General features: G+C 46.7%; 1 protein-coding gene across 28 annotated transcripts in view, besides 8 other annotated features; it reads left to right on the top strand.

The window, feature by feature from the left end:
- CHD9 (chromodomain helicase DNA binding protein 9) overlaps window positions 1–23,927 on the top strand; it is a 272,507-nt gene that overhangs the window by 21,292 nt on the left and 227,288 nt on the right. For 2 of the 28 annotated variants that reach the window (NR_168123.1, NR_168116.1), the window contains exons 2-3: window positions 5,497–5,526; window positions 6,516–6,586. The exons of 18 other annotated variants lie outside the window; for them this stretch is intronic. The gene's annotated coding sequence lies outside the window, so the exon portion shown is untranslated. Of the gene's footprint in view, window positions 1–1,228; window positions 1,323–5,496; window positions 22,987–23,927 lie in introns of all 28 variants that reach the window. 8 more of the 28 variants (XM_047434707.1, XM_047434693.1, XM_047434692.1 and 5 more) reach the window with 7 other exon arrangements.
- Window positions 9,522–10,326: an enhancer, noted in NCBI's record as "NANOG-H3K27ac hESC enhancer chr16:53119716-53120520 (GRCh37/hg19 assembly coordinates)". NCBI's record gives its function as "activates a minimal SCP1, AML or CMV promoter by ChIP-STARR-seq in naive H9 embryonic stem cells {active_cell/tissue: H9 hESC(naive)}" and the evidence as "EXISTENCE:reporter gene assay evidence [ECO:0000049][PMID:30033119]".
- Window positions 15,057–15,742: an enhancer, noted in NCBI's record as "H3K27ac-H3K4me1 hESC enhancer chr16:53125251-53125936 (GRCh37/hg19 assembly coordinates)". NCBI's record gives its function as "activates a minimal SCP1, AML or CMV promoter by ChIP-STARR-seq in naive H9 embryonic stem cells {active_cell/tissue: H9 hESC(naive)}" and the evidence as "EXISTENCE:reporter gene assay evidence [ECO:0000049][PMID:30033119]".
- Window positions 22,588–22,717: an enhancer, noted in NCBI's record as "active region_10837". NCBI's record gives its function as "activates an Ori minimal core promoter by ATAC-STARR-seq in GM12878 lymphoblastoid cells {active_cell/tissue: GM12878}" and the evidence as "EXISTENCE:reporter gene assay evidence [ECO:0000049][PMID:35858748]".
- Window positions 22,588–23,875: a biological region, named in NCBI's record as "P300/CBP strongly-dependent group 1 enhancer GRCh37_chr16:53132870-53134069".
- Window positions 22,676–23,875: an enhancer, noted in NCBI's record as "P300/CBP strongly-dependent group 1 enhancer chr16:53132870-53134069 (GRCh37/hg19 assembly coordinates)". NCBI's record gives its function as "activates an origin of replication core promoter dependent on BRD2, BRD4, P300/CBP, MED14 and CDK7 cofactors, with strong dependence on P300/CBP, by STARR-seq in HCT116 cells {active_cell/tissue: HCT116}" and the evidence as "EXISTENCE:reporter gene assay evidence [ECO:0000049][PMID:35650434]".
- Window positions 22,778–22,827: an enhancer, noted in NCBI's record as "active region_10838". NCBI's record gives its function as "activates an Ori minimal core promoter by ATAC-STARR-seq in GM12878 lymphoblastoid cells {active_cell/tissue: GM12878}" and the evidence as "EXISTENCE:reporter gene assay evidence [ECO:0000049][PMID:35858748]".
- Window positions 22,918–22,997: an enhancer, noted in NCBI's record as "active region_10839". NCBI's record gives its function as "activates an Ori minimal core promoter by ATAC-STARR-seq in GM12878 lymphoblastoid cells {active_cell/tissue: GM12878}" and the evidence as "EXISTENCE:reporter gene assay evidence [ECO:0000049][PMID:35858748]".
- Window positions 23,538–23,647: a silencer, noted in NCBI's record as "silent region_7493". NCBI's record gives its function as "represses an Ori minimal core promoter by ATAC-STARR-seq in GM12878 lymphoblastoid cells {active_cell/tissue: GM12878}" and the evidence as "EXISTENCE:reporter gene assay evidence [ECO:0000049][PMID:35858748]".

Below are 23,927 nucleotides of genomic sequence, written 5' to 3' on the forward strand. Positions count from 1 at the left end.
ATTTTAATTAGGCTGGGTGTGATGGCTCTCGCCTGTAATCACAGCACTTTGGGAGGCCAAGACAGGCAGATCACTTAAGGTCAGGAGTTCGAGACCAGCCTGGCCAACATGGCAAAACCCCATCTCTACTAAAAATACAAAAATTAGTCAGGCATGGTGGCAGGCGCCTATAATTCCAGCTACTCAGGAGGCTGAGGCAGGGAAATCGCTTGAACCCAGGAGGCAGAGGTTGCAATGAGCCGAGATCATGCCAGGGCACTCCAGCCTGGATGACAAGAGTGAAACTCCATGTCAAAAAAAAAGAAAAGCAAAGAAAAGAAAAAATATATATATATGTATAAATTTGCTGGGCATGGTGGTGCATGCCTGTAGTCCCAGCTACTTGGGAGGCTAAGACAGGAGAATCACTTGAACCTGGAGGTGGAGGTTGCAGTGAGCTGAGATCATGCCACTGCACTCCAGCCTGGGCAACAGAGTGAGACTCTATCTCAAAAACAAAAACAAAAGCAAATTTTAATTAATTAATTTTTGTTTGCTAATTTAAAAAATGTATTTATTTATTTATTTATTTTTACAAGCAAGGTCTCAGTGGCAGGATCACAGCTCACTGCAGCCTTGAACTCCTAGGCTCAAAGAATCCTCCCACCTCAGCCTCCTGAGTAGCTGGGACTACAGGTGCATGCCACCAGGCCCAACTAAGTTTATTTGTTTTGTTTTGTTTTTGAGATGGAGTCTCACTCTGTTGCCCAGGCTGGAGTGCAGTGGCATGATCTTGGCTTGCTGCAACCTCCGCCTCCTGGGTTCAAGCAATTCTCCTACCTCAGCCTCCTGAGTAGCTGGGATTACAGGTGTGTGCCACCACGCCTAACTAATTTTTGTATTTTTAGTAGAAACAGGGTTTTCCCATGTTGGCCAGTCTGGTCTCAAACTGCTGACCTCAGGTGATCCGCCTGCCTTGGCTTCCCAAAGTGTTGGGATCACAGGTGAGAGCCACTGTGCTTGCCCATTTTTTTTTTTAATATATAAAATTTTATTTTTTAAATTCATTTTTTTTTGTTTGAGATGGGGTCTCGCTCTGTCGCCCAGGCTGGAGTGCAGTGGCGTGATCTCGGCTCACTGAAAGCTCTGCCTTCTGGGTTCATGCCATTCTCCCACCTCAGCTTCCTGAGTAGCTGGGACTACAGGCACCCGCCACCACGCCCAGTTAATTTTGTTTTTGTATTTTTAGTAGAGACGGGGTTTCACCATGTTAGCCAGGATGGGCTCTGTCTTCTGACTTCGTGATCCGCCTGCCTCAGACTCCCAAAATGCTGGGATTACAGGTATGAGCCACCGCGCCCAGCCTAAAATTTTATTTTTAAAGTATATATTTAAGGGGCACAATGTACGTTTACAATATGTAATGATTAAATCAGGCTAGTTGATGAATTCAGTACCTCACACACTTATCTTTTTTTGAGGTAAAACATTTGAAATCTACTTCTTCGGCAATTTTGAAATATGCAATGCGACCCAGTGCAGTGGCTCACCCCTGTAATTCTAACACTTTGGGAGGCCAAGTCAGGTGGATCACTTGAGGTCAGAGTTCAAGATCAGCCTAGCCAACATGGCAAAAATCCCGTCTCTACTAAAAATACAAAAATTAGCCAGGCATGGTGTTGCTCATCTGTAGTCCCAGCTACTTGGGGAGCTGAGGCAGGAGAGTCGCTTGAACCGGGGAGGTGGAGGTTGCAGTGAGCTGAGATTGCACCACTGCACTCCGGCATGGGCAACAAAATGAAACCATGTCTCAGAAAAGGAAAAAGAGAAAAAAATATATATATACAATGCATTTTTATTTATTATAGTCACCATTCTGTCCAATATATCACTTAAGTTTATGTCTCCTGTGTAACTGAAACTTTGTACTTGCTATGGTTTGAATGTTCCCTCCAAAAGTGGTGTTGAAATTTAATTGCCATTGTGACAGTATTATAAGGTGGGACCTTTAAGAGGTGATTAGGTCATAAGAGTAGAGGCCTCTTGAATTGATTCATGATGTTTTCACAGGAAGGGGTTAGTTATCTTGGGAGTGAGGAGGATGAAGTTCGGCCCTGTTTCCCTTTCTGTCTCTTGCACTTACTTGCCATTCCACCTTCTGCCACCTGATGACACAGCACAAAGGTCGTCTCAAGGTGCTGGTGGTATGCCATTGGACTTCCCAGCCTCCAGAGCTATGAGCCAAATACATTTCTGTTCATTGTAAATTACTAGTCTGTAGTATTCTGTTATAGCAACATAAAACAGACTAAGTATTATTTGATCATGTCTACTTTTTTTCTTTTCCTGCCTGTGCCCATAATAATCTTTTAAAAGAAAATAAAATGAGCCACATCTGGCATAGTCAACTTGGACTATACAGAATTCCTAGCTCCCCAACTCCCTTGGTCCCTTAAAGACCCTTACTGCTTCCCTCCCCACTTCCATTCCCCTAACTCCTCATGGCTCCTGGCCCAGAAGCAGATTTGAGGAGAAGTCTGTGTGGGTCCTTTCTCCCCTTAAATTAATGCAAGATAACATTGTGCTTTGCCAATTCAGAGAAAAGCAAGAGGTCTGAGGCACTGTTAACATTGTATCAGGTGATGCTAACCAGCATCACCAGAGTTATCTGCTTATTTACCCGCCTCCTGCCTGCAGAGGTCAGAGGTTGCCTGAATATGGCATTATGTCGTCTTTGAAAGTGAAGCTCCCACTCTGCAGCTCCTGGGAAGCATAAATCCTAGGTTGGTTCAGCAAGATTTGATGACCATACTTTCAGTATGGTTGTTTGGCTAGCGTTATACATACAGGAGCCTTGGAGTATGAAGGGACCTGGGAAAGCTTTTCCTTCTCGTACCCCTCAAAAGATTTTCCTACTGGTCTGGTCCATCTTTGGTGGCAAAACTTCCACCATTGGCTGTTCATGCCATTGGGCTCCCAGATTGCTTTCTATTAAAACTGCAAAATGCATGGTAAGCTGTGGTCAGCTTGGATACCTCCACCCCTAGAGCTGTATATTGCACACGTTAAGTGCTCACACAATGTTTGTTGGATTGAACCAATGACTTAGCATAAAATGCTTCAACAGATGACGTTCTAATCTGACATCTGGCCAGAAACACTTCTAGAACTGAGTTATGTTTAGGCACTGTGGTATAATACAAAAATATATTTGGTCTTTGTCTCTGGTTCCTGGTACACAGCTCCTACATCCCTGGGAATTTTCTGAATGGTAGGAATATCTTTTGTTATTCATAATAAGCCCCTTTCCATTATACCTCAGTTTATGTTAGTGGGGTGTCTTTTGGTTGGAATCCTAGATAGCCTCAGGGTATGGCTGGTCACCAAAAAGACCACACTGGAACTTTCAGTACCACCTACTGACCAGCCCCTCGAAAGGGGCTGGGGGTGCAATGCTGGAGACTAAGCTCTATGAAAACTCTTGAACAATGAGATTTGAGGAGCATCTGGGTTGGTGAACACTTGGAAGAACTAGGAAGGTGGTGCTCCCAGAGAGAGCATGGAAGCTCTGTCTAGCCCCACCATACCTTGCCCTCTGCATCTCTTCATCTAGCTGTTTCTGACTTGTGTCTTTATAGTAAACTGGTAAACATAAGGAAAGTGTTTCCCTGCATTCTGTGAGCTTTCTAGCAAATTATTGAATCTGAGGAGGGGGGCATGGGGACCTCCTGAATTTATAGCTGGTTGGTCAGAAGTCCCAGAGATCCGGGACCTTCAACTGGCATCTGAAGTGGGAGCAATCTGTGCAACTAAGCCCTTAACCTGTGGAATCTCCAGGTAGTTAGTGTCAGAATTGAATTGCATTATAGGACACCAGCTGGTGTTGGAGAATTGGTTGGCATGGGGGAAAAGACCCACACATTTGTTAACAGAAGTATTCTGTGGGCAGAAACAGATCTTAGGAGACATATTTTGGCAAGAAGGGTTTTTTTCTTTTTTTTATTAACCACTTTTTCTGGTTATCCCTTCCCTGTAGCCTACTCACACGCCCATCAACATGGATAACTGAGAGGCATACGCAAGGTGCGGCAATCAGTTTCTAGTACAGCAGTTTGTTATTACAGTTGCTCAAGAAATATGTGTGCTGGGAAAATAAGGAGTGTCACTCTACACCTCCAAGGGGGAGACAGTGTTTGTCTAAACACAGGTCTTTGTCTCTACAACATGCTACCCCACCCACCCCTGCTGCCCAAGTAAGCTGGGCTTTTTGAGTCATTCGTGATGTGTTTTTGAACACAACGAGGGGGAAGAGCTCCCACAGTCTGTTCAGTTCTTGCTACAAGAAATACAAGCTGGGTTTGACTGAATGACAAAAAGAAATCTGTTGAGCCAGGAAGCGTAGTAAATACCGTGACTCTCTGCAAATGCGCACAGCCCAAACAGCTTTTTCCAGTCTGGAAAAATGAAGAGATTTGTCTGTGCAAAAACCAGCCAAGTCTCCACCCCTCTCCCTTTCTACTCCTCCACCCCCACCTCCTGGCTAGGCCTTCCACCCTGCCCCAGACATTCAGTCATCAGCTTTCATCCTCTGTGACTTGCATTGCCCCAGGAAATAACATGCCCGGCTCTGGGGAGATACACCAGCCTCTCCCAAGCATCTTTCAGGGATGTCTGTCTGGTTGGGTTTTGCCAGTCATCTCTGACCTTGGCCAGTGCTGGCTCACAGCAAAGTTATTCATTACGCAAAGTGGGTCTGGTGTCTTATTCCTTGTTTATTCCCTTCCTTCTCCTTCCCACTCCAGTCTTCCCCCTTTTGCTTTGAAAGAAGCTTTGTCCCATCCCTACTTCCATCAGGCAGTGTTTAGAGAGAAGATTTGCCAAAGATGAGATTTTAAAAGCATTTGCTCTCAGCTAGTACAGGGCATGGAGGCAGGATGGAAAATCTCCCAGGGACTGTCAAAGGCAACCAGTTCAGGACAGTCTTTGGTGGATACAGAGTTTCTAGATGGGAGGGACTTACAGGGAGAATCTGGTTCTGCACCTTGTCTTAAAGATACATTTGCATAACAACTATGCAGTTTTCTCTTTGATGGTATGTTTTGGGAGGTGGTAGCTGGCAAAGACTATGGGGCAATAAAGCACCCACCCAAACCACTGGAGCAGTGGAGACAACACATCAAACCTGCAGTTCATTGTATTGGGAAGGGCACTGGAATTGGAATCAGAATTTCCATGAGTTTGAACCCTGGCTCCTATGAGTAGGCGTGTCTTATTCACCACTCTATCCACAGTGCCAAGCACAATCCTGCCAACAGCAGGTCAGCAGGTGCTCTTTTTTCCCCTCAAGTTGGGGGTTTGCCCTGTTGCCCAGGCTAGAGTGCAGTGGCATGATAGTGGTTCACTGCAGCCTCAAACTCCTGGGCTCAAGCAATCCTCTTACCTCAGCCTCCCAAGTAGCTGGGACTACAGGTGCATGCCACCATGCTTGGCTAATTAAAAAAAAATTTTTTTTTGTAGAGATGGTGTTTCACTATGTTGCCCAGGCTGGTAAGTGATCTGTTTATATTTGTCAAGTTTGTGAATGAATGAATGAATGAATGAATGAATGAATAAACCAATAACCTTGGATACTTTTCCTCTTTGAGCCTCAGTTTTCTCCTCTATAAAAACAATATTTAAAAAAGTCTAACACCTACTCTGCCTACCTCACCAGGTTAGTGTGTATGTGTGTGTGTGAGAGAGAGAGAAAGAGAAAGAACAAAATGTATGAATGTTCTTTGTCTCCTGCGCACTGGAATTTAAAAGTCACTTTGTCTCAGGCTCTGTGCTTTAACCTTGGTGTTGGTGTTCCATATCAGGAGGAAGGACTATTTTCCAGTGTCTGGTAAACACTTAGTTCTCCATCCTGTATTCTAAGTATCTTAAGGACAGGAGAACATTTTATTTATTTATTTATTTATTTATTTATTTATTTATTTATTTATTTATTCATGTATGTCAGCATCTTGCCCTGTCATCCATGCTGGAGTGCAGTGGCGTGATCTTGGCTCACTGCAGCCTCAACCTTCCCTGCTCAAGCCATCCTCCCACCTCAGCCTCCTGAGTAGCTGGGACTGCAGGCCTTTGCCGCCACACCCAACTAATTTTTATATTTCTTTGGGTAAAGACAGGGTTTCATCATGTTGCCCAGTCTTGTCTCAAACTCTTAGGCTCAGGTGATCTTCCCACCTCTGCCTCCTGAAGTGTTGGGATTACAGGCATGAGCCACTGCACCCAGCCTATTTTAAATGCTTTTAACCGATTGGTTTAAATTTGAGAACAAAGAATTTTAAGGTTCTCAGCCTCAGCTTATAGCCACTGCCCTGTTGGTCCCTTACTTGGCCCCAGAACCCTGGAAACCTTCCCAGGACAGAGCTTGCCTTACTTCCAACCACAGATCTTCATCAGGTGCAGGAGGAATTCGACCTTCAGATCTTTGCCCATGCACTTGGCTCTGCCTGAAGCATTCTCTTTGCTTTTTACCCGTCCAATTCCAGCACATCCTTCAGATCCCAGGTTAGACTCCCTTCTTCCAGGATACGTTCCCAGCTCCTCTCTGCCCTGTCAGGTAAGCTTCCTCCTCCATGCCCTCCCTCTTTGTGTCCTCTATCTGAGTGCTCACCCTGCTGAACTGTGGTTTCCCATCAGTCGTCTGCCTCCCTTTTAAACTGTGGCCCCCTGAGGACTATGATTGTGTCTTCCTTGTTCATTGATGTAACCTTGGTACATATCACAGTGCCAGGTACCAAGAGGATATTCTACAAATAGGCATTGATTAAGTGACTGGCAACAGTGTGTTGAGGAGATGGGAGAGAGGGTGACAAATCACAAAGGTCCCCATAGGAGGGTATTGTATTTCCTGAAGTATGAGAAACAACACTTCCACCAAAATGGCTTGCATAGCTAAGGATGCAAAGCTTTGGTGCATAACTTGCATAAACTAAGGATGCAAACACACCCCCAGACATTCCTGGACACACCCTACTGTAGGCAGTCATTCATTTAACACACTTGCCCTTGCTCTGAAATTTCTCCTCTTATCGTCTCCTTCCACTCATCTTTCTCATTTCCTGTATAAGGGAATTGCAAGACTAAAAGAATCTAACTGGCAGCAAAAAGATAATGCCAGAGAAAGAGATTATATTGCCACACCTTTGCTTAAGGTTTTTTCCCCTCTTTCTCTGCCTGTTAGATTTCTGCACCATTCCATTGTAAGGAAATTCTACTTATCTTTATTATGGACAATTCCTGAAGACACCTGAACTTTGAAAAATAGCTTAGTATGTGGTTCTGCCCACTCTTTGGAGTCCTGCCAAAGGTGTCTTTCAGCAAATAGCCCCCAACTCCGTGCCTCAGTTTCCCTCTTTTCTCTCACAGAGATGAGAAACAGAAGTTGTCCTTGAAACTTTTTTTTGAAAATAAAAGCGCCCCCACCCCCCGACTTCTTTGTTTTATTTTTAACAAAATAAAACCTGTCTCTCACTCTGTCACCCAGGCTGGAGTGCAGTGGCATGATCATAGCTCACTGTAGCCTTGAACTCATGGCCTCAAGCGATCCTCCCACCTCAGCTTGCCAAGTAGCTAGGACTACAAGTGTGCATCACTATGCCCAACTAATTTTTTTTTTTAATTGAGATAGGGTCTCACTTTGTTGCCCAGCCTGGGGTCTCAAACTCCTGGCTCAAATGATCCTCCCGCCTCAGCCTCTTAAAGTTCTGGGATTACAAGCGTGAGCCACCCGCACCCAGCCCTGACTAATTTTTGAATTTTTTTGTAGAGGTGAGGTCTCACTATGTTGCCCAGGCTGGTCTTGACTCCTGGTTTCAAGCAATCCTCTTGCCTTGGGCTCCCAAACTGCTGAGATTACAGGTGTGAGCCACCGCACCAGTAGAAGAGCTCCTTAAATATGCAGTTACTTGCTGGTCATGACCATGGAATGTGAAGGAAAGGAAGGTGTCACTTAATTCTTCTATGGGCAGGTGAATTTTAAGTTCTTAAGGTTGACTCAAATGTGGTCAGAGACTCAAGTGAAAACTTGCCCTACCCAAAGAAAGAGTCCTGAACTGGCCTTGAAGAGGAGGAGGATTTCTGAAGCAGTTTAGAGTGTTGTTGGTAAGGACCCAACTGGCAGCAGATACAGCATGATAAAATCACAGAAGCCTGGCAGGGTGCGGTGGCTCATGCCTATAATCCCAGCACTTTGGGAGGCCAAGGCGGGTGGATCATGAGGTCAGGAGATCGAAACGATCCTGGCCAATATGGTGAAACCCTGTATCTACTAAAATACAAAAAATTAGCCGGGCGTGGTGGTAGGCGCCTGTAGTCCCAGCTACTTGGGAGGCTGAGGCAGGAGAATGGCTTGAACCTGGGAGGCGGAGGTTGCAGTGAGCTGAGATCACGCCACTGCACTCCAGCCTGGCAACAGAGTGAGACTTCGTCTCAAAACAACAACAGCAACAACAAAATCACAATCACAGAAGCCGGAAAGTGTTTTCTGAGCCCCAGGAACATCAGGCGGTCTTACCCTGTTAGGATGCTGGTCAAGTCTTTCGTGGTATGCCTTCATCTGACCTCCTGGCTTCGTCTGTCCACACCCTCTACCATACTGCAGGCATACAGGACCCACTTCCTAGGTTAGGGTTGCAAACTGGGGGTGCTCGGGTAAACTTGGACTGCTAGACAGGCTTTGTTTGGCTCATAACATCGTCTTTTGCAATACTTTTTACTTAAGTCAATTCCCAAATTGGGAGACTTCACGTAAAATCCAAATCTTCACTTATTTTGGAAAAATAAAAGATCTGGCAACAGAGGGCCACATTCGTCCATAATAGCAATCAGCTAGAGCCAGAAGTGAGTAGCTGCTGCCCCTTTCACAGAGGACTTGCTGTCTCCAGTCCCCACCACTCTGGTCAGCTGCCTTTGATCATCTTTTTTTTTTTTTTTTTTTTTATTTTTTTTAGAGATGAGGTCTTGCTATGTTGCCTAGGCTGGTCTTTTACCACTGGCCTCAAGCAATGTCCACCTAGAGCACTGGGATTACCCCCAGACCCAGCCTGCCTTTGATCATCTTACCCCCCAGGACATTTATGTTGCCTGCTGTGCCTAAAGGCACTTGAGTTTCCTGACATCTGCCTTGGGGAGGACCTTCTATCCCCTGGGCTCCTGGTACATCACACACCCTTCCTCCCTGCCCCCATTGATGCTGATTTATCCAGTATTCTGGGGCTGGGGGCTGGGTTCTTTCTGCTTTCAAGGGGATAAGTTCCCATTCCATAAAGACACACAAGGCCACAGGCTAAGGAACAGGCAGGGACCTGTTCTTTGCTTCCCAGATAACACACACCCGCTTTAGCAATAACCTTCTGGGAATCATGCCCGTGACTTTTCTTTTTTCTATTCCATTAGTGATTTTCAAAGAGGAAGTTTCAGTCAGATAAAAGGAGCAGATGGCACTGTACGAGGCCTCCTGCCGGGTAAATATTTTGGAGGAGCCAGGGCTTTTCTGTGAGTTGCTCCTCTTGCCTGGTAAGCTTTGATTTCCCAGGTTATTGAGGTGTGTTCTCCTAAGGAAGGAATCAGGCCTTACTTAACCTTGATAATTAAAATCACTGTTCTCATTGCCCTTCCTTCATAAACAAGGAAATTGGAACAGAGCTAAGAGAAGATTTTTCATGCAGTTTAGGAAAGAATGAGCAATGGAAAAAGGAAATTGAGAGCTTTGGGGAGTTTATAGCAGAGAGCATTTGAGTTTGAAATAGGAGCTGAGAATCCATATGTTTGAGAGGAAAGAAAAGAAAAGAACAGCCACATGCCCAGAGCTTCAAGGGGACGTGCGGAAATTGTTATAGGAAAGGGGGCAGGGAGGCCCACGTGGGTCTCCCTTTATCAGACCCAGATGTTCAGGCAACGGTTCTCAAGATGCCCATGAAAAGGTCTAGAGTCTGCTGAGCTAGACTCACTGTTTTCTTAACTACCAAGAGGCACATGAAATCAGTGGCCTGGAGCTTTCCACCGTGTGCTCAATGGTTCCCTGAGGCCCTCCTGGGGTCTGTGCCGCACCAATTATACACAGACTGGGCTGCCTTAGGGCAGGACTTGAAAGTGAATAGGACTGACTGGCTCACTGGGTAACTGTCCCTGCCTGTCAGCCCCTGCCAAACAGAGGCTGCCAAACCTCCCTCTGTTGCCTCCCGCCCCAGACTAACCTTGGAAGGCAGGAGACATTGGAAGGTCCAGGTTCAGCTCTCAATTCCACCTGGCATAAATGACTTAGCTTCTCTGAGCCTCAGTGTTGGTGTCTTTAAAATGAGGAAAAAAATCATTTGTGAGGTGCATATAAGATATGTGTGAAAGGGCTCTACAAAGAAGAAAGCACAAAATGTTTTTTATTATTCATTATCCTTTTAAAAATTACTAACAAAAATTTCAAATAAATGCTCAGGTAGGCGGAATGAACCCTCATAACCCAGCTTCAAGAATTATCAACTCATGGCCAATTTTATTGTATCTATATCTCCACCCACTTTCTCCATCCCTGTGTTATTTTGAAGCAAATCCCAAATATTCTATTATAGTATCTTACTATCAAATGTATACAGCTGACTTGCTCCCTCAACCAATGGAAACTTACCCAATCTTCAGGTGTCCCTTTCTGCACCCCTTTTCCCTTCCAGGGGGCCACACCTCCTATCCCCACCATGCACCTGGTGCCCTAAACCTTCTCAAATCCATTATTACTACGAAACTGTCATCACTGATAGTAGCTCAGGTTGTAAGCCCTGGGAAGCCTGAGATGTATTTGCATTTTATCAGGCCCCATTGTCTTTAGAGAGAAGAGTGACTTCTAACAAGTAAACTATGAAGTATCACTCTCTAGAAGTAGCAGGAGGTGGTGAGCCATTAAGGGCCCTCCAAACCCTTGACACCAAGCATAAGCTCTATAGGAATTGGCTGAGTTCCTCCTCCTGTTGGTGCTTTTCTTCCAGGGAGAGGGCACACGGAGCAGAGAACACCGGTGAATTATGTCCTCTCAGCCTCTGACTGCAGGGGAATCAGGGCTCTCCTCTCCTGGCAGATGCTCTACTGCTGACTTGAAGTCTGTGACTAAGCTGTGAATATGAGACTCGGGTCTATTCCCAAGTCCTCATGCAGTGGATAGGATGCAAGCTCCAAAAGCCAGGAGACTTGATTCAAATCCTGCCTCCACTATTTATATCACATAGCTTCTCTGTGCCTCACTTTCTCTTCCTTATCTGTAAAGCAGGGGTTACAATACTTACTTCACAGTTGTTGAAAGGATCGTTATGAGATAATGTCATATTCCTTAGGATTCTTTTGGTAGCAGGTGATAGAAAATCCAATTCAAGACTGGACACAGTGGCTCATGCCTGTAATCCCAGCACTTTGGAAGGCCAAAGCAGGAGGATCACTTGAGGTCAGGAGTTCGAGACCAGCCTGGCCAACATGATGAAACCTTGTCTCTACTAAAAATACAAAAATTAACCAGGCATGGTCGTGGGCGCCCATAATCCCAGCTACTCGGGAAGCTGAGGTAGGAGAATCACTTGAATCCAGGAGGCTGAGTTTGCAGTGAGCCGAGATCATGCCATTGCACTCCAGCCTGGGCAACAGAGCAAGAGTCTGTCTCAAAAAAAAAAAAAAATAGAAATCCAATCCAAGATACTTTTGAGCAAAACAGGAGTGCAGGGGCTCATCTTAAGATGAAAATTCCAAGGATGGACATGATGGATTTGGAGTTCAAATGTTAGAGCGGGACTCTCCTTACGTCTTGGCTCCATATTCTGTCTTTTAACTTTAGTCTTGGGTTAATGTAACAAGCTGACAGCATCAGTTCTAGCCCCTATATCCTTTCAGGTCTGGGGTCAGAGAGATTCTGACAAAAGTCTCATTGACCCTGATTGGGTCCCATGAGCATCCCTGAAACAATCACTGTAATCAAGGAAAATGACATGCACTTTGTTTTTTTTTTTTTTTTGAGATGGAGTCTCGTTCTGTCGCCCAGGCTGGAGTGCAGTGGCGCGATCTCAGCTCACTGCCAGCTCCGCCTCCCAGGTTCATGCCATTCTCCTGCCTTAGCCTCCCGAGTAGCTGGGACTACAGATGCCTGCCACCACGCCTGGCTAATTTTTTTGTGTTTTTAGTAGAGACGGGGTTTCACTGTGTTAGCCAGGATGGTCTCGATCTCCTGACCTCCTGATCCACCCTCCTCGGCCTCCCAAAGTGCTGGGATTACAGGCTTGAGCCACCGCGCCCGGCCAACATGCACTTATTTACTTGAGCTGATGTCACTGCATCTATAGGGACTGAGAGAGCAGGAGGAGTGGTTCATTACAGGGCATTGCAGGGGTGTTGGGCATGGTTACCCAAATGAAGGTGAGGCCAGGCATAGTGGCTTATTCCTGTAATCCTAACACTTTGGGAGGCCAAGGCAGGAGGATCGCTTGAGGCCAGGAGTTAGAGACCAGCCTGGGCAACATAGTGAGACCCTGTCTTTACAATAAAAATTAGCTCAGCCGGGCGTGGTGGCTCACACCTGTAATCCCAGCACTTTGAGAGGCTGAGGCAGGCGGATCATGAGGTCAGGAGTTCGATACCAGCCTGGCCAATATGGTGAAACCCCATCTCTACTAAAAATACAAAAATTAGCTGAGCATGGTGATGCGTGCCTGTAGTCCCAGCTACTCAGGAGTCTGTGGCAGAAGAATCGCTTGAACCTGGGAGGCGGAGGTTGCAGTGAGCCGAGATCGTGCCACTGCACTCCAACCTGGGTGACAGAGTGAGACTCTGTCTCAAAAAAAAAAAAATAATAATAATAATTAGCCAGCCATGGTGGCGTGCACCTGTAGTCCCAGTTACTTGAGAGGCTGAGGCAGGTGGATCACTTGAGCCCGGGAGGTCGAGACTGCAGTGAGCTATGATGGTGCCACTGCACTCCAGCCTGGGTGACAGAGTGAGATACTGTCTCAAAAAAACAAAACAAAACAAAAGAAAATGAAGTTGAATAGATACTAATGGCAAAACTGAAGGTGCTTGCTATAAATGCTTTGTAAGTCCTCAGGCACATTATTGAAGATCATAAAACAATAATTCCCTTCTCCTATCTCATGGAGCATTTTTTATTCCTTTTCAAATAAGTTTCACATATTTAATATCTTTGAGCTTCATAACAGTCCTATGAGACAAACAGGAGTACAGGTATTGTCTTCCCATTTTTACAGATGAGGAAATCAAAGCACAGAGCAGGTGAGGACTTTGCCCATGGTCAACATGGCAAGGTAGTGTGGACTGTGCTTAGAGTCACACAGAGACACAACTGGCTCTGAATTCCCTGGCAGATCCACTGGGACTGGAAACTAGGACATTTAGGGTATGGGTTAATCAAGGCCTGCCCTGGGATTTGGATCACCCACCCAGGTTCATTCCTGAGTAAACAGTTTAGACTGATGGCAGTTGAGTATGTCAAGGACCCATTGTTGATGCCCTGGCAGGTGGCAAGGGAAAGAACTGGAAGGAAAGACACTGGCACACGAGGAACACCCTCACATGACTGATCCCCTTTACACCAGGCAGCTGGGTACAAGACTTGGTCTTCCTCGTCCCAGAAAAAAATGCCAATCAAAAATAAAACAAAAAGAAGGGGAGGCCACGCTGGTTGCAGGGCTGGTTCCTGGACTTCTTTCAAGGGAACTTGATCCTGGAGCCAAGAGCATCCTTTGCCAGGATGTGGAGGGAGAGAAGAATCCCCCAGTCAAATGAGGATGGTTTGGCCAGAGTCTCAGCATCCTCTTAAGTGTTGCTGACATCTCCAAAGAGTCTTCCAAAAACCGGAGTCCCTCCTCTGCCTCCAGGTTCTGAACACATTGAGAAAGAAGACAAAGGAATGGCAGGGAGCCAACATACCACCTTAATTACCACTAAAGCTAGCATGGAGGTTGCAGCTGAGTGTGAGAACAAAATGAGCTTCCTGACCGAGCCTGGGAGAAGGATGGGGCTGAGCTGATCATTCCAGAGAGTCTTCCCAAGTCACCCATTCAGATCAGTCATTCCATTATTGTGGACAGTGAGAGTGAAGATAAAGAGGGGTGTTTAGGAAAAATCTCTCCTTGTGAAAACCAAAAGCAGGAAAACATGTGAGTGTGGCAAGGTATTAATCTCTCTGCACATCAGTCGAGATCTCTTCTTCAGTATAATGGGGATAGTGACAGTGAGGGTTCTGTGGGATCACGTGTATGACGGTCCTGGCATACAGTAATCGCTCAGTAAAGGCTGTTTTTGTGTGCAGTCCAGGTTCATGGCAGGTGGCCTTTCTTTCCTCCCCGGCATGAAGCCCAGGGCCCCAGAGTCCTGCCGGGCTTGTGTATCGCTCTTTCTCTCCAGCTGTAAAAATTCATGAGAATGTGGGTGTGCGGTGGCTTTCCAGTTTCTTGGCTTCTCCCCAGGCTATGTTCTCCCACTTGGGGGCAGGGGGGTGGCAGACATCCTTTTCACAGTGGTGAGTGCCACCCCACCCCAACCCCCATGCCCTGTCCCAGCAGAGTCTGGCTCAAAGTTCAAAGCCAGGGTGGCTTTGTTGAGTAATTTGGTGACATTGCCTGCCTGCCTGCCCACCATGCTCTCACACGCCCATTTGCTAGGCATCTGCTGCCCTGTGTTTTGTGGTGTGGAGGATGGGAACAGCTCACCCCCCCCCGACTGACCGCGGTGAGGCTCAGCTTCCTTCCTCTCCCCCGCCCTTGGGCTCTCAGTCCCACACACAGCCCCACTCAGTGAGGTTTCGGATCTGCTCCCAGGCTGGTTGGCGCTGACTCCATCTGGATCCACACCAACCCCTTCCTCCTGGGGGTTCAGAGTGTTCTTGGAAGGAAGCCTGGGAAGGGAAAGGCCTTCTCCAGCATTCCCCATCCAGTGGTTGGCTGACAGCATAGAACTGAGCTGCCAAGAACGCTGGAGTCAGACAGAACTGAGTTCAAATCCCCGGGTGACCTTGGGCAAGCTGCTCTCTCTGCTTCAGTTTCCTCATCTGTAAAAAATGTGACAGTAACAGGATCTGCCTCCTGGGATGATTGTGAGGATTCAGGGAGATACTAACTGTGATGTCCTCACCCCTACATCTGGCAGGTGGGAAGTGCTTAAGAAATGGTGGCCCTGGAGCCAGGGATCCCCTGCCTTCCCATGGGTGTACTCACAGGGAGGAGGCGAACGCCGTCTCCTTTTGCTCATCCCACCTCCCAAATTAGACCCCTGCCGTAGTTACTCTGACATGACCAAACTGGTTTGGTTTCCTGCAAACTCCTTTTGGACAAGGACTCTGTCTCATTTGTCTTATAACTCCCATGCCTAGTGTGGTCCTGGCACTTACACAGCACTAAATGTTTGGAATAAATAAGTGGAGGATAAAGGAGCAAACGAGTGCCTGGTGGGCAGCATCTGTTCAAGGACTGTTTTCTGAACTCCAGGCAGTTATTTCTGTCCCTTCCATTTTCCCTCTCTCCTTCCTCCCTCCCTCCCTTCCTTCTCTCCTTCCTTCCTTTTGACCTTCCTCTTCAGACCTCCTTTCCTTCTTGCTAAATGGAAAGAGCTTCCTCCTTTCCTTTTCTTGTAATATCCAAGCTGCAAGAGCATCCCTTGAGAGCCCTTCACCCAGCCGAGAGCAGCGATTCCTCTTTCAAATTGAGTCTGTCCCCTGACTCATTCATTAAAATGCATAGGGCATGTGACCAAACTGCATAATGAGTCTCTCATGAGGAAGGCTTGGAGGCAGGGAGATGCTGCCAACTGCAAAGGCAAATACTTCCCCCCCAGCTGTGGATCAGGCTCATTGGCTGTCATACCCTGGGAAGGCTGGGGGCTGCAGTTCATCTCCAGTAAATCAGCCAAGCCCTGGAGAGCTGCAGCCTGGCGCAGGCTGTACGGTCTTGGAAGCTGTGTTGCTTTGGAGAATCCAACCCATGACTTTTCTCAACCTTCTTCCACCCATTTCTAGTTTTTCATTTATTTAAATATACTTTTAACTCCATAGGTGATATGCAAATACATGCTTATCATAAAATATGCAAACATAAAAGAAAACCCCCTTTGATAATGTCTCTGTACTGCTACCTCTCTCGGAGACAAACAACTGTTGTCACTCAGCTCTTTACCTTCCAGGGCCCTTGGGCTGCTGGGTGACAGATGTCCCATGAAGGTGATTTGGGAGCCCAAACACCCTTTTGCCCTCCTGAAGTCCTAGGCCAGTTCTCAGTAAAAACAGTCAACATTCATCTTAAGTGCCTTCTCAGCTCCCTCCCTAGCAAACTCTGTGTCTGTTACGTGTAACCCCTACCCACCCTAAATCCCATCCCTGCAAAAGAACCCCACTCTCCACACTTAGGAAGCAAACAGATAAACTAGATTATTTCCTCATTGGAAATTTAGATTTGACTTTTCCAGAGGCACCTGCACCTTTATTATTATTTATTTATTTATTTATTTATTTAGAGAAAGGATCTCACTTTGTCATCCAGGCTGGAGTGCAGTGGTGTGACCAAGGCTCCCTGCAGCCTCAATCTCTCAACCTTAAGTGATCCTCCCATTTCAGCCTCTCGAATAGCTGGGACTACAGGCGTGCACCACCACACCCAGCTAATTTTTGCATTCTTTGTAAAAATGGGGTCTCACTATGTCGCCAGGGCTGGTCTCAAACTCCTGAGCGCAAGCCATCCTCCTGCCTTTGCCTCCCAAAGTGTTGGGATTACAGGCATGAGCCATTATGCCCTGCTGCATCTGCACTTTAATATTGGATTCTTGAAGAGTGAGAAAGATATCAAAATTCAGTGACTCTCATCATTGCCTCTCAGGCACTAGGGCCACCCCTATGTTCCATTTTTAGGTGGTGAGCCTCTCTGAATCTGCAAATTCATATCACTTTGGTCACAACCTATTCAGCTAGCTATGTGGCCTTAGGAAAATCACTGACTTCTCTGAATCGCATTAACTCATCTGCAGAATGTGAATAACAATAGTACCCCCATTTATTGGGTTGTTGTAAAGCTTAGATGGGATTATCTATTACAGCCCTAAGCACTATGCGTGGCACATAGCCAAGATGCAATTAATGTTAGGGATTATCATCATCATCATTATTTTTACTCTAATCTGTCATAACCCAATTCGCTCATTCAAGAACTATTTATTGAGCACCTGCTATGTGCCAGGCATTGTCCTTGACCCTGAGAGTAGGGCAGTGAAGGAGTCATACAAGGTTCCTGCCTTCTAGGGGCTTACATTCTAGTACAAATGTACCACACCTTTCTGTTTGATAAGCACTTTCTTCCCCATTGTGTCATGTTGTTCTCACTAATGCCTTTCAATCAGGCAAAGGCGGTATGATTGTCCGCATTGTACAGATAGAAAGCTGAGGCTTAGAGAATTAAGCTAACAGAGATAGCTAGAAAGTGGCCAGGTACAACTTGATCTAGGGTCCTCCTGGCTCGTTTCTGTGCTCTCTCATGATGGACACTGATGATTGTTTTGGGGTGAGGGGCATGGAAGCAGCTCTCAGAGCCTTGAGAGCTCTGACCCACCAGCAGAAGCACAAAAGAGAACCAGGGACTGGCTTTGGTTCGATTGCGAGTGTCCCAGTTAGTTCTGTCCATGAAGTCTGTCAATGACTGGGCCTAACAATGTGTGCCTCTGCCCGGTGTCAGCCTTGGGGGCCTGGAGGAGACTTTATCTTAAGGAAAAAGTGCTTGCTTCAGCACATGGCCAGTGGGGCCTGGCTGTGACAGCAGGCAGCTCTGCTGTGGCAGCTCAGCTGTCTGAGAGCACTTCCCCTTGGGTTCCCCGCAGAGCAGGAGAGAAGGTGTCTAGGCCTATGGGCTTGGTGACCAAACTGCATGGTTTCTGGTAGTGTGCCTGGAACTCCTGCTGTGCAAGATTTCCTATATACACCCAGCATCCGCCTAGTCTGGGCTGGGCGGGGCAGGGCTGATCCTGTCTGAGAACACAGGAACTGGAAGTCTGTACCGGGGCAGGTGGCAGGGGCAGGCCTGGCAAAGACCCAGGGAGAGGACACCAAGGGCCAGCCACCGCACAGAGAGACCAGTGACTGAACATGGCTGGGCCGGGGTGTTTCCCAGCCCCGTCACAGTGAAAACTCACCCGTACCCGGTGACCCCAGGTGACAATTCTGAACCTGCAACAGCAGTGCATAACTGATAGTGTCACCTCTGCCTAATCCTCCTGGAAACACACACACACCCTGCTTTATTTCCCGTCTCTCAACACCCTTCCTTATGGGTACTTCATACCAGTCCCAAGAGCAGGCTTTTGTTTACTTTTTCTTTTTTTTTTTTTTTTGAGATGGAGTCTTCCTCTGTCGCCCAGGCTGGAGTGCAATGGTGTGATCTTGGCTCACTGAAACCTCTGCCTCCCGGGTTCAAGTGATTCTCCTCCCCCAGCCTCCTGAGTAGCTGGAATTACAGGCATGCACCACCACACCCCACTAATTTTGTATTTTTAGTAGATACAGGGTTTCGCCACGTTGGTCAGGTTGGTTTTGAACTCCTGACCTCAGGTGATCTGCCCGCCTCAGTCTCCCAAAGTGCTGGGATTACAGGCGTGAGCCACCGCGCCCGGCCTTGTTTTCCTTTTTACTGAATTTAAGTGCTTAGGGTTATTCACAATATTTGACTCATGACATTCTTTCATCTTCAGTTGGACCTTGTGCAACCTGCATCTGGTAATTTGTTATTTATCTGTTTGTGTATTTCCTTATAATACAGTCACTCCACTGCACGTTCTTCCCCTGTGTCCTCCCTTCCTATTACTTTGCCTTCCCCACCCTATTCTGAATATTGAGTTCATCATTCCTTTGCTCCTCTAAAAACTAATGCTTTTTCAAATATTTTTCTAAAAGCCATATTGTTTAGATTTGTTGTTTTTTCTTGTGTAAAGGAATATCCTGGCTAGGCGCAGTGGTTCATACCTATAATATCAGCACTTTGGGAGGGGGAGGCAGGAGGATCACTTGAAGCCAGGAGTTCAAGACCAGCCTGGGCAACACAGCAAGACCCTGTCTCTACAAAAAAATTTTTAAAATGTAGCTGGGCGTGGTGGTGTGTGCCTGTAGTCCCAGCTACTTGGGAGGCTGAGGCAGGAGGATTGCTTGAGCCCAGGAGATTGAGGCTGCAGTGAGCCATGATAGTGCCACTGCACTCCAACTTGGGCAACAGAGCAAGACCCTGTCTCTAAAAAAAAAAATTAAAATTAAAACAAAAAAGAATATCCTGCTATATGCAGCTTTCTTGGGTATACTTTTTTCTCATAATATTATGTGGCTAAAACTCACCCATAGCGTAGCATTCAGCTACGGTCCACTTGTTGTCCCTGCTCTATTGCAGTTCTCCCTAGTATGTTCCATGGGAATTTACTGAATCTCCTGTTAGTGGACATTTGGGTTGTTACCAGCTTTCCATGACTTTGAACACGCTAAGCTGATCATTTTTGTCTGTGTCTCCAGGGAAACAATGTGAATTTATCAATTTACAATCCCAGTAACAACAAACATATAAATATCCAATTGATCTGTGTTCTTTCCAACAATTTGGTATTATCAAGCTTCTTAATTTTTTCCAACTGAAAGGGTATTAAGTGACATCTCATTGTGATCTCTTCATGGTTATTGCCTTTCCAAATATGGTTTACAGTGGTCAGTTGGTGGAGCAGTGGGGGTCATCCTGCAAGGGGACTGTGAAGATTTTTTTTTTTTTTTTTTAGAGATAGGGTCTCTAAAACTCAGGCTGGATTGAGTTCAGTGGCACAATCATGGGTCACTGCAGCCTCAACTTCCTGGGCTCAAGCGATCCTCCCACCTCAGCCTCCCAAAGTGTTGAGATTACCAGCATGAGCCACTATGCCCAGCCAAGACGTAAGGATTTAATGAAGCACAGAATGCTTGCAAAGCCTTTCCCAGTTAGGACCACGTCACTGTCTTATTCAACTTTGGGTCGCCAATACCCAACACAATGCCGGGTACCTCATCATTATTAAACCAACAATATGATAATATTAGGTTGGTGCAAAAATAATTGCGATTTTTGCCATAACATTTATTGAGTGCTTGCTTATTAAGTGCCAGGTGCTATATTAACTGACACCTTTACTTTTATTATTTCATTTAATTATTCTGGAAACTCTATAAGTTAAGTTCTATACTACCCCAATTTTGTAGATGGGAAACTGAAACTAAGTGTCTCTCCCAGAATCACACAAGTAGTAAATGATAGAGCCAGGATCTGAACGCTGGCATCTGACACCTAAGTCCTTAGCTACTATATTATAGGTGCTCAATAAATTCTTGAATGAAATAACTTCACTGTGTTATTCTCTTTCATGTTGCTTATAACCAAACACTTGAAACTGGATAATTGATAAAGAAAAGAAATTTCTTCACAGTTACAGAGGCTGAGAAGTCCCAGGTCAAGGGGTCCTATCTGGTGACAGCCTTCTTGCTTGAGGGGACTCTCTGAAGAGTACTAAGGTGGTCCAAGGTGTCGCATGGTGAGGGGGCTGAGTGTGCTAACATGTTAGCTCAGGTCTTTGTTCTTCTTATAAAGCCATCAGTCCCCACCCATTATAACCCATTAATCCATGAGTGGATTAATCCACTCATGGATTAACCCATTCATTAGGGCAGAGCCCTCATGATGCAAGCACCGTTTAAAGACCACATCTCTCAATACTGCCACATTGGGGATTAAAGTTCAACATGAGTTTTAGAGGAGACAAATATTCAACCCACAGCACCTACCCATAACCAGAGATAGGGTCACATGCCATGGTACTTTTACTTTTTATCTCTTATCAAGTATATTTAAATACACTTACATTTTGATTATAAACATGGCTTAAAGAATTTAACTCAATTTATAATTGGTTATAATTTCTCAGCAATCATGCAGACTTGAGAACTCTCGCTGTGAGAGATATCTAACTCACAGATTATTCTGAAATGCCAATTCCTCCTTTATCAACAATTCCTCTAACCTCGCTCTCCCTTCCTTCCTTCCTTCCTTCCTTCCTTCCTTCCTTCCTTCCTTCCTTCCTTCTTTCTCTTTCTTTCACAGTCTTGCTCTGTCACCCAGGCTGGAGTGCCTGGGTGACGATCATAGCTCACTGCAGCCTCAAACTCCTAGGCTCAAGCAATCAGCCCCCATCAGCCTCCCAAAGCACTGGGATTACAGGCATGAGCCACCGTACCTGGTCTGTTGTGTCTATTATTGACCCACAAGGGCAGAGATATTTGTATGCTTAGTTTTGTCTGTATCTTTAGTGAATTTAGCACTTAATGTGTCCCTAGTACCTGTAACTGTGTGTGGCACAGAGAGGTAACTCAACAAATATTTATTGAATGAAGAAATAAATGCATGCTTGCAGGAATGGATGAATAAGTGAATGAATCAATGAATACTAAATTGAATAGTTAATGAAAATTGACGATATTATTTTGATTTTGTGGTTTTTAAAAATTTTGGAACCAGGCTGGGTGCGGTGGCTCACACTGTAATCCCAGCACTTTGGGAGGCCGAGATGGGTGGATGACCTTAGGTCAGGAGTTCGAGCCCAGCCTGGCCAAAATGGTGAAACCCTGTCTCTACTAAAAATACAAAAATTAGCCAGGTGTGGTGGCAGGTGCCTGTAATCCCAGCTACTCAGGAGGTTGAGGCAGGAGAATCACTTGAACCCAGGAGGTGGAGGTTGCAGTGAGCCGAGATCGTGCCATTGCACTCCAGCCTGGGGGACAAGAGCGAGACTTCGTCTCAAAAAAAAAATTGGAACCAACTGTTTTTTCAGGTTTCAGACATTTCTGTAAACCAGTAGAAAAGCTGGGAGGCAGACAGGCGTGGTGGCTTACGCCTGTAATCCCAGCACTTTGGGAGGCCGAGGCGGGTGGATCACCTGAGGTCAGGAGTTCAAGACCAGCCTGGCCAACATGGTGAAACCTCGTCTCTACTAAAAATACAAAAATAAGCTGGGCATGGTGTTGGGCATCTGTAATCCCAGCTATTTGGGAGGCTGAGGCAGGAGAATTGCTTGAACCCAGGAGGTGGAGGTTGCAGTGAGCTGATATGGCTCTGCCCCACTCCAGCCTGGGCAACAGAGTGAGACTCCGTCTCAAAAAAAAAAAAAAAAAGAAAGAAAGAAAAGCTGGGAGGCCTGAGATTTTGTGTCTATTATACCTAAGGGATGAAAGAGTCCTGACCTGGAGACCCGAAACAATGTTTGGCTGCTTTTTTCTTTGTCTCTTGTAAACCAACATCAGCAATGAGCAGGCCACCTCAAGTGTGACTCAATCAACGCGAGGCAGGAGGCATGCAAAACAAAACAGAAAACTCCTGGCAGCCTTAATATAGCGATTTTTCTAGCAATCTACATGACTATCCAGGCCCAATGCACCCCATTACATATGCAAAACATCTGACGTTTGTGTAACAAGCCCTTAACCCCTGGCTGTTATTCTTATTTCCAAACTGGGGTGCATCATTAGATAAATGCAGAAATCAAGAACCGTCGCTCCTAGTCAAGCGTCTGTGGCTCAGTTCTCAGAGCCAGGCCAAAGGAGTAATTATAGCTTTCCTCTATAGTGTACGGGGCAGGAGGCTGATTTAATAAAGGAAGCCTACTGTCTGTCTCCAGCCTGGCTCTGACTCATGGAACGAGGGAGTCCCAGAGCACTACCCACAGAGGGTGGGTGGTGAGCAGCTGAGGGTGGGAGGTGAGGGTGGCCGCTAGCAAGGCCTGGGCCCAGAGCCCTGAGAATGAGGAAACTCCCTGCTTGGCCAGGAGGAACCTGCAGCTGGAGCCAGAGGAAGTGAGGCTCAGACAGAGCAGCTGCTGTTCCAGCAACAGCAGCAACTGCCGCACCCTTGAAAGGAGGCCCCTGCCGTGTGGACCCGTAAAATAAAATGGGTTAGTAATTTTCATATTCAGAATTGATTGGGGGAAACGATCGAATTGCTTCTAATGGGGATGGCCACCTTTGTGTGCTGTACCAGGGTCTTTGGTTTCTTTTAGGGGCCTGGGTCGATGGAGTCTGGAGTGATGAGCGTTCGGTTAATTTGGTTTCTCACTTTGGCAGCTAATTAGGTCTTCACGACCACAGAGAGAGTTCTGAGCTGGGAGTGGTTTCAGCTACACCGAGGGGGACGGCCCGCTCTGGAATGGATTTGTGTTCCACCTTAGATAGGTCACCAGAGGTCATCTTATCCTTCCTTCTGCCTCCAGCTGCTTTCTCCTTCCTCCCCTGACAATCAGCCAGACAGAGGCAACCTGACCTCTTCCTCCTCCGGACTCCTCCGGGCGGGAGATTCGGCTCCACCCCTTCCCTTCCCGCTGAGTCACACACCTCCCAGTCAGGTGATCCTCCCCTGGGCCCTTCCGAGAGCACCTTGACCTATATTCCGTTCTCTCCATGACAGCAGACTCTAAGAGTCCCGGGAGAGAGCCCGCCAGGCCAGCTGGCGTGGTGCCCTGGCAGCCCCAGACTGCAGACCAGGCGCCCCGGGCAGCGGGAGGGGGTGCTCCCACCCCAGAGGCCTGGAAATGGAAAGTTAGGAGGCTGGTGGCTGTGTGCAGGGCGGGGGAGGAGGAGGTGGGGAGTTGAGTCAGCTGGGAAAGCTGACAGCCACTGGCGGCCGCGTGCTTCCTCCCCTCCCTCTCTGGGCTCCTCAGCTCCCTGCCAGGCCCTGACCAAGCAGGCTGCAGGGGATGAAGCGGTGAAGGGCAGATGCCATTGTGGCTGGGTGATACTGCAGCCCACGGGGAGAGGTGAGGAATTGTGCAAATAATGGGATAAACCTACATGACTCACCCGGAGAATGTGAGCCGAAGAAAACTTCTCCTGCCACAAG

Source organism: Homo sapiens, chromosome 16 (assembly GCF_000001405.40).
Source record: "Homo sapiens chromosome 16, GRCh38.p14 Primary Assembly".
NCBI classification, from domain to species: Eukaryota; Metazoa; Chordata; class Mammalia; order Primates; family Hominidae; genus Homo; species Homo sapiens.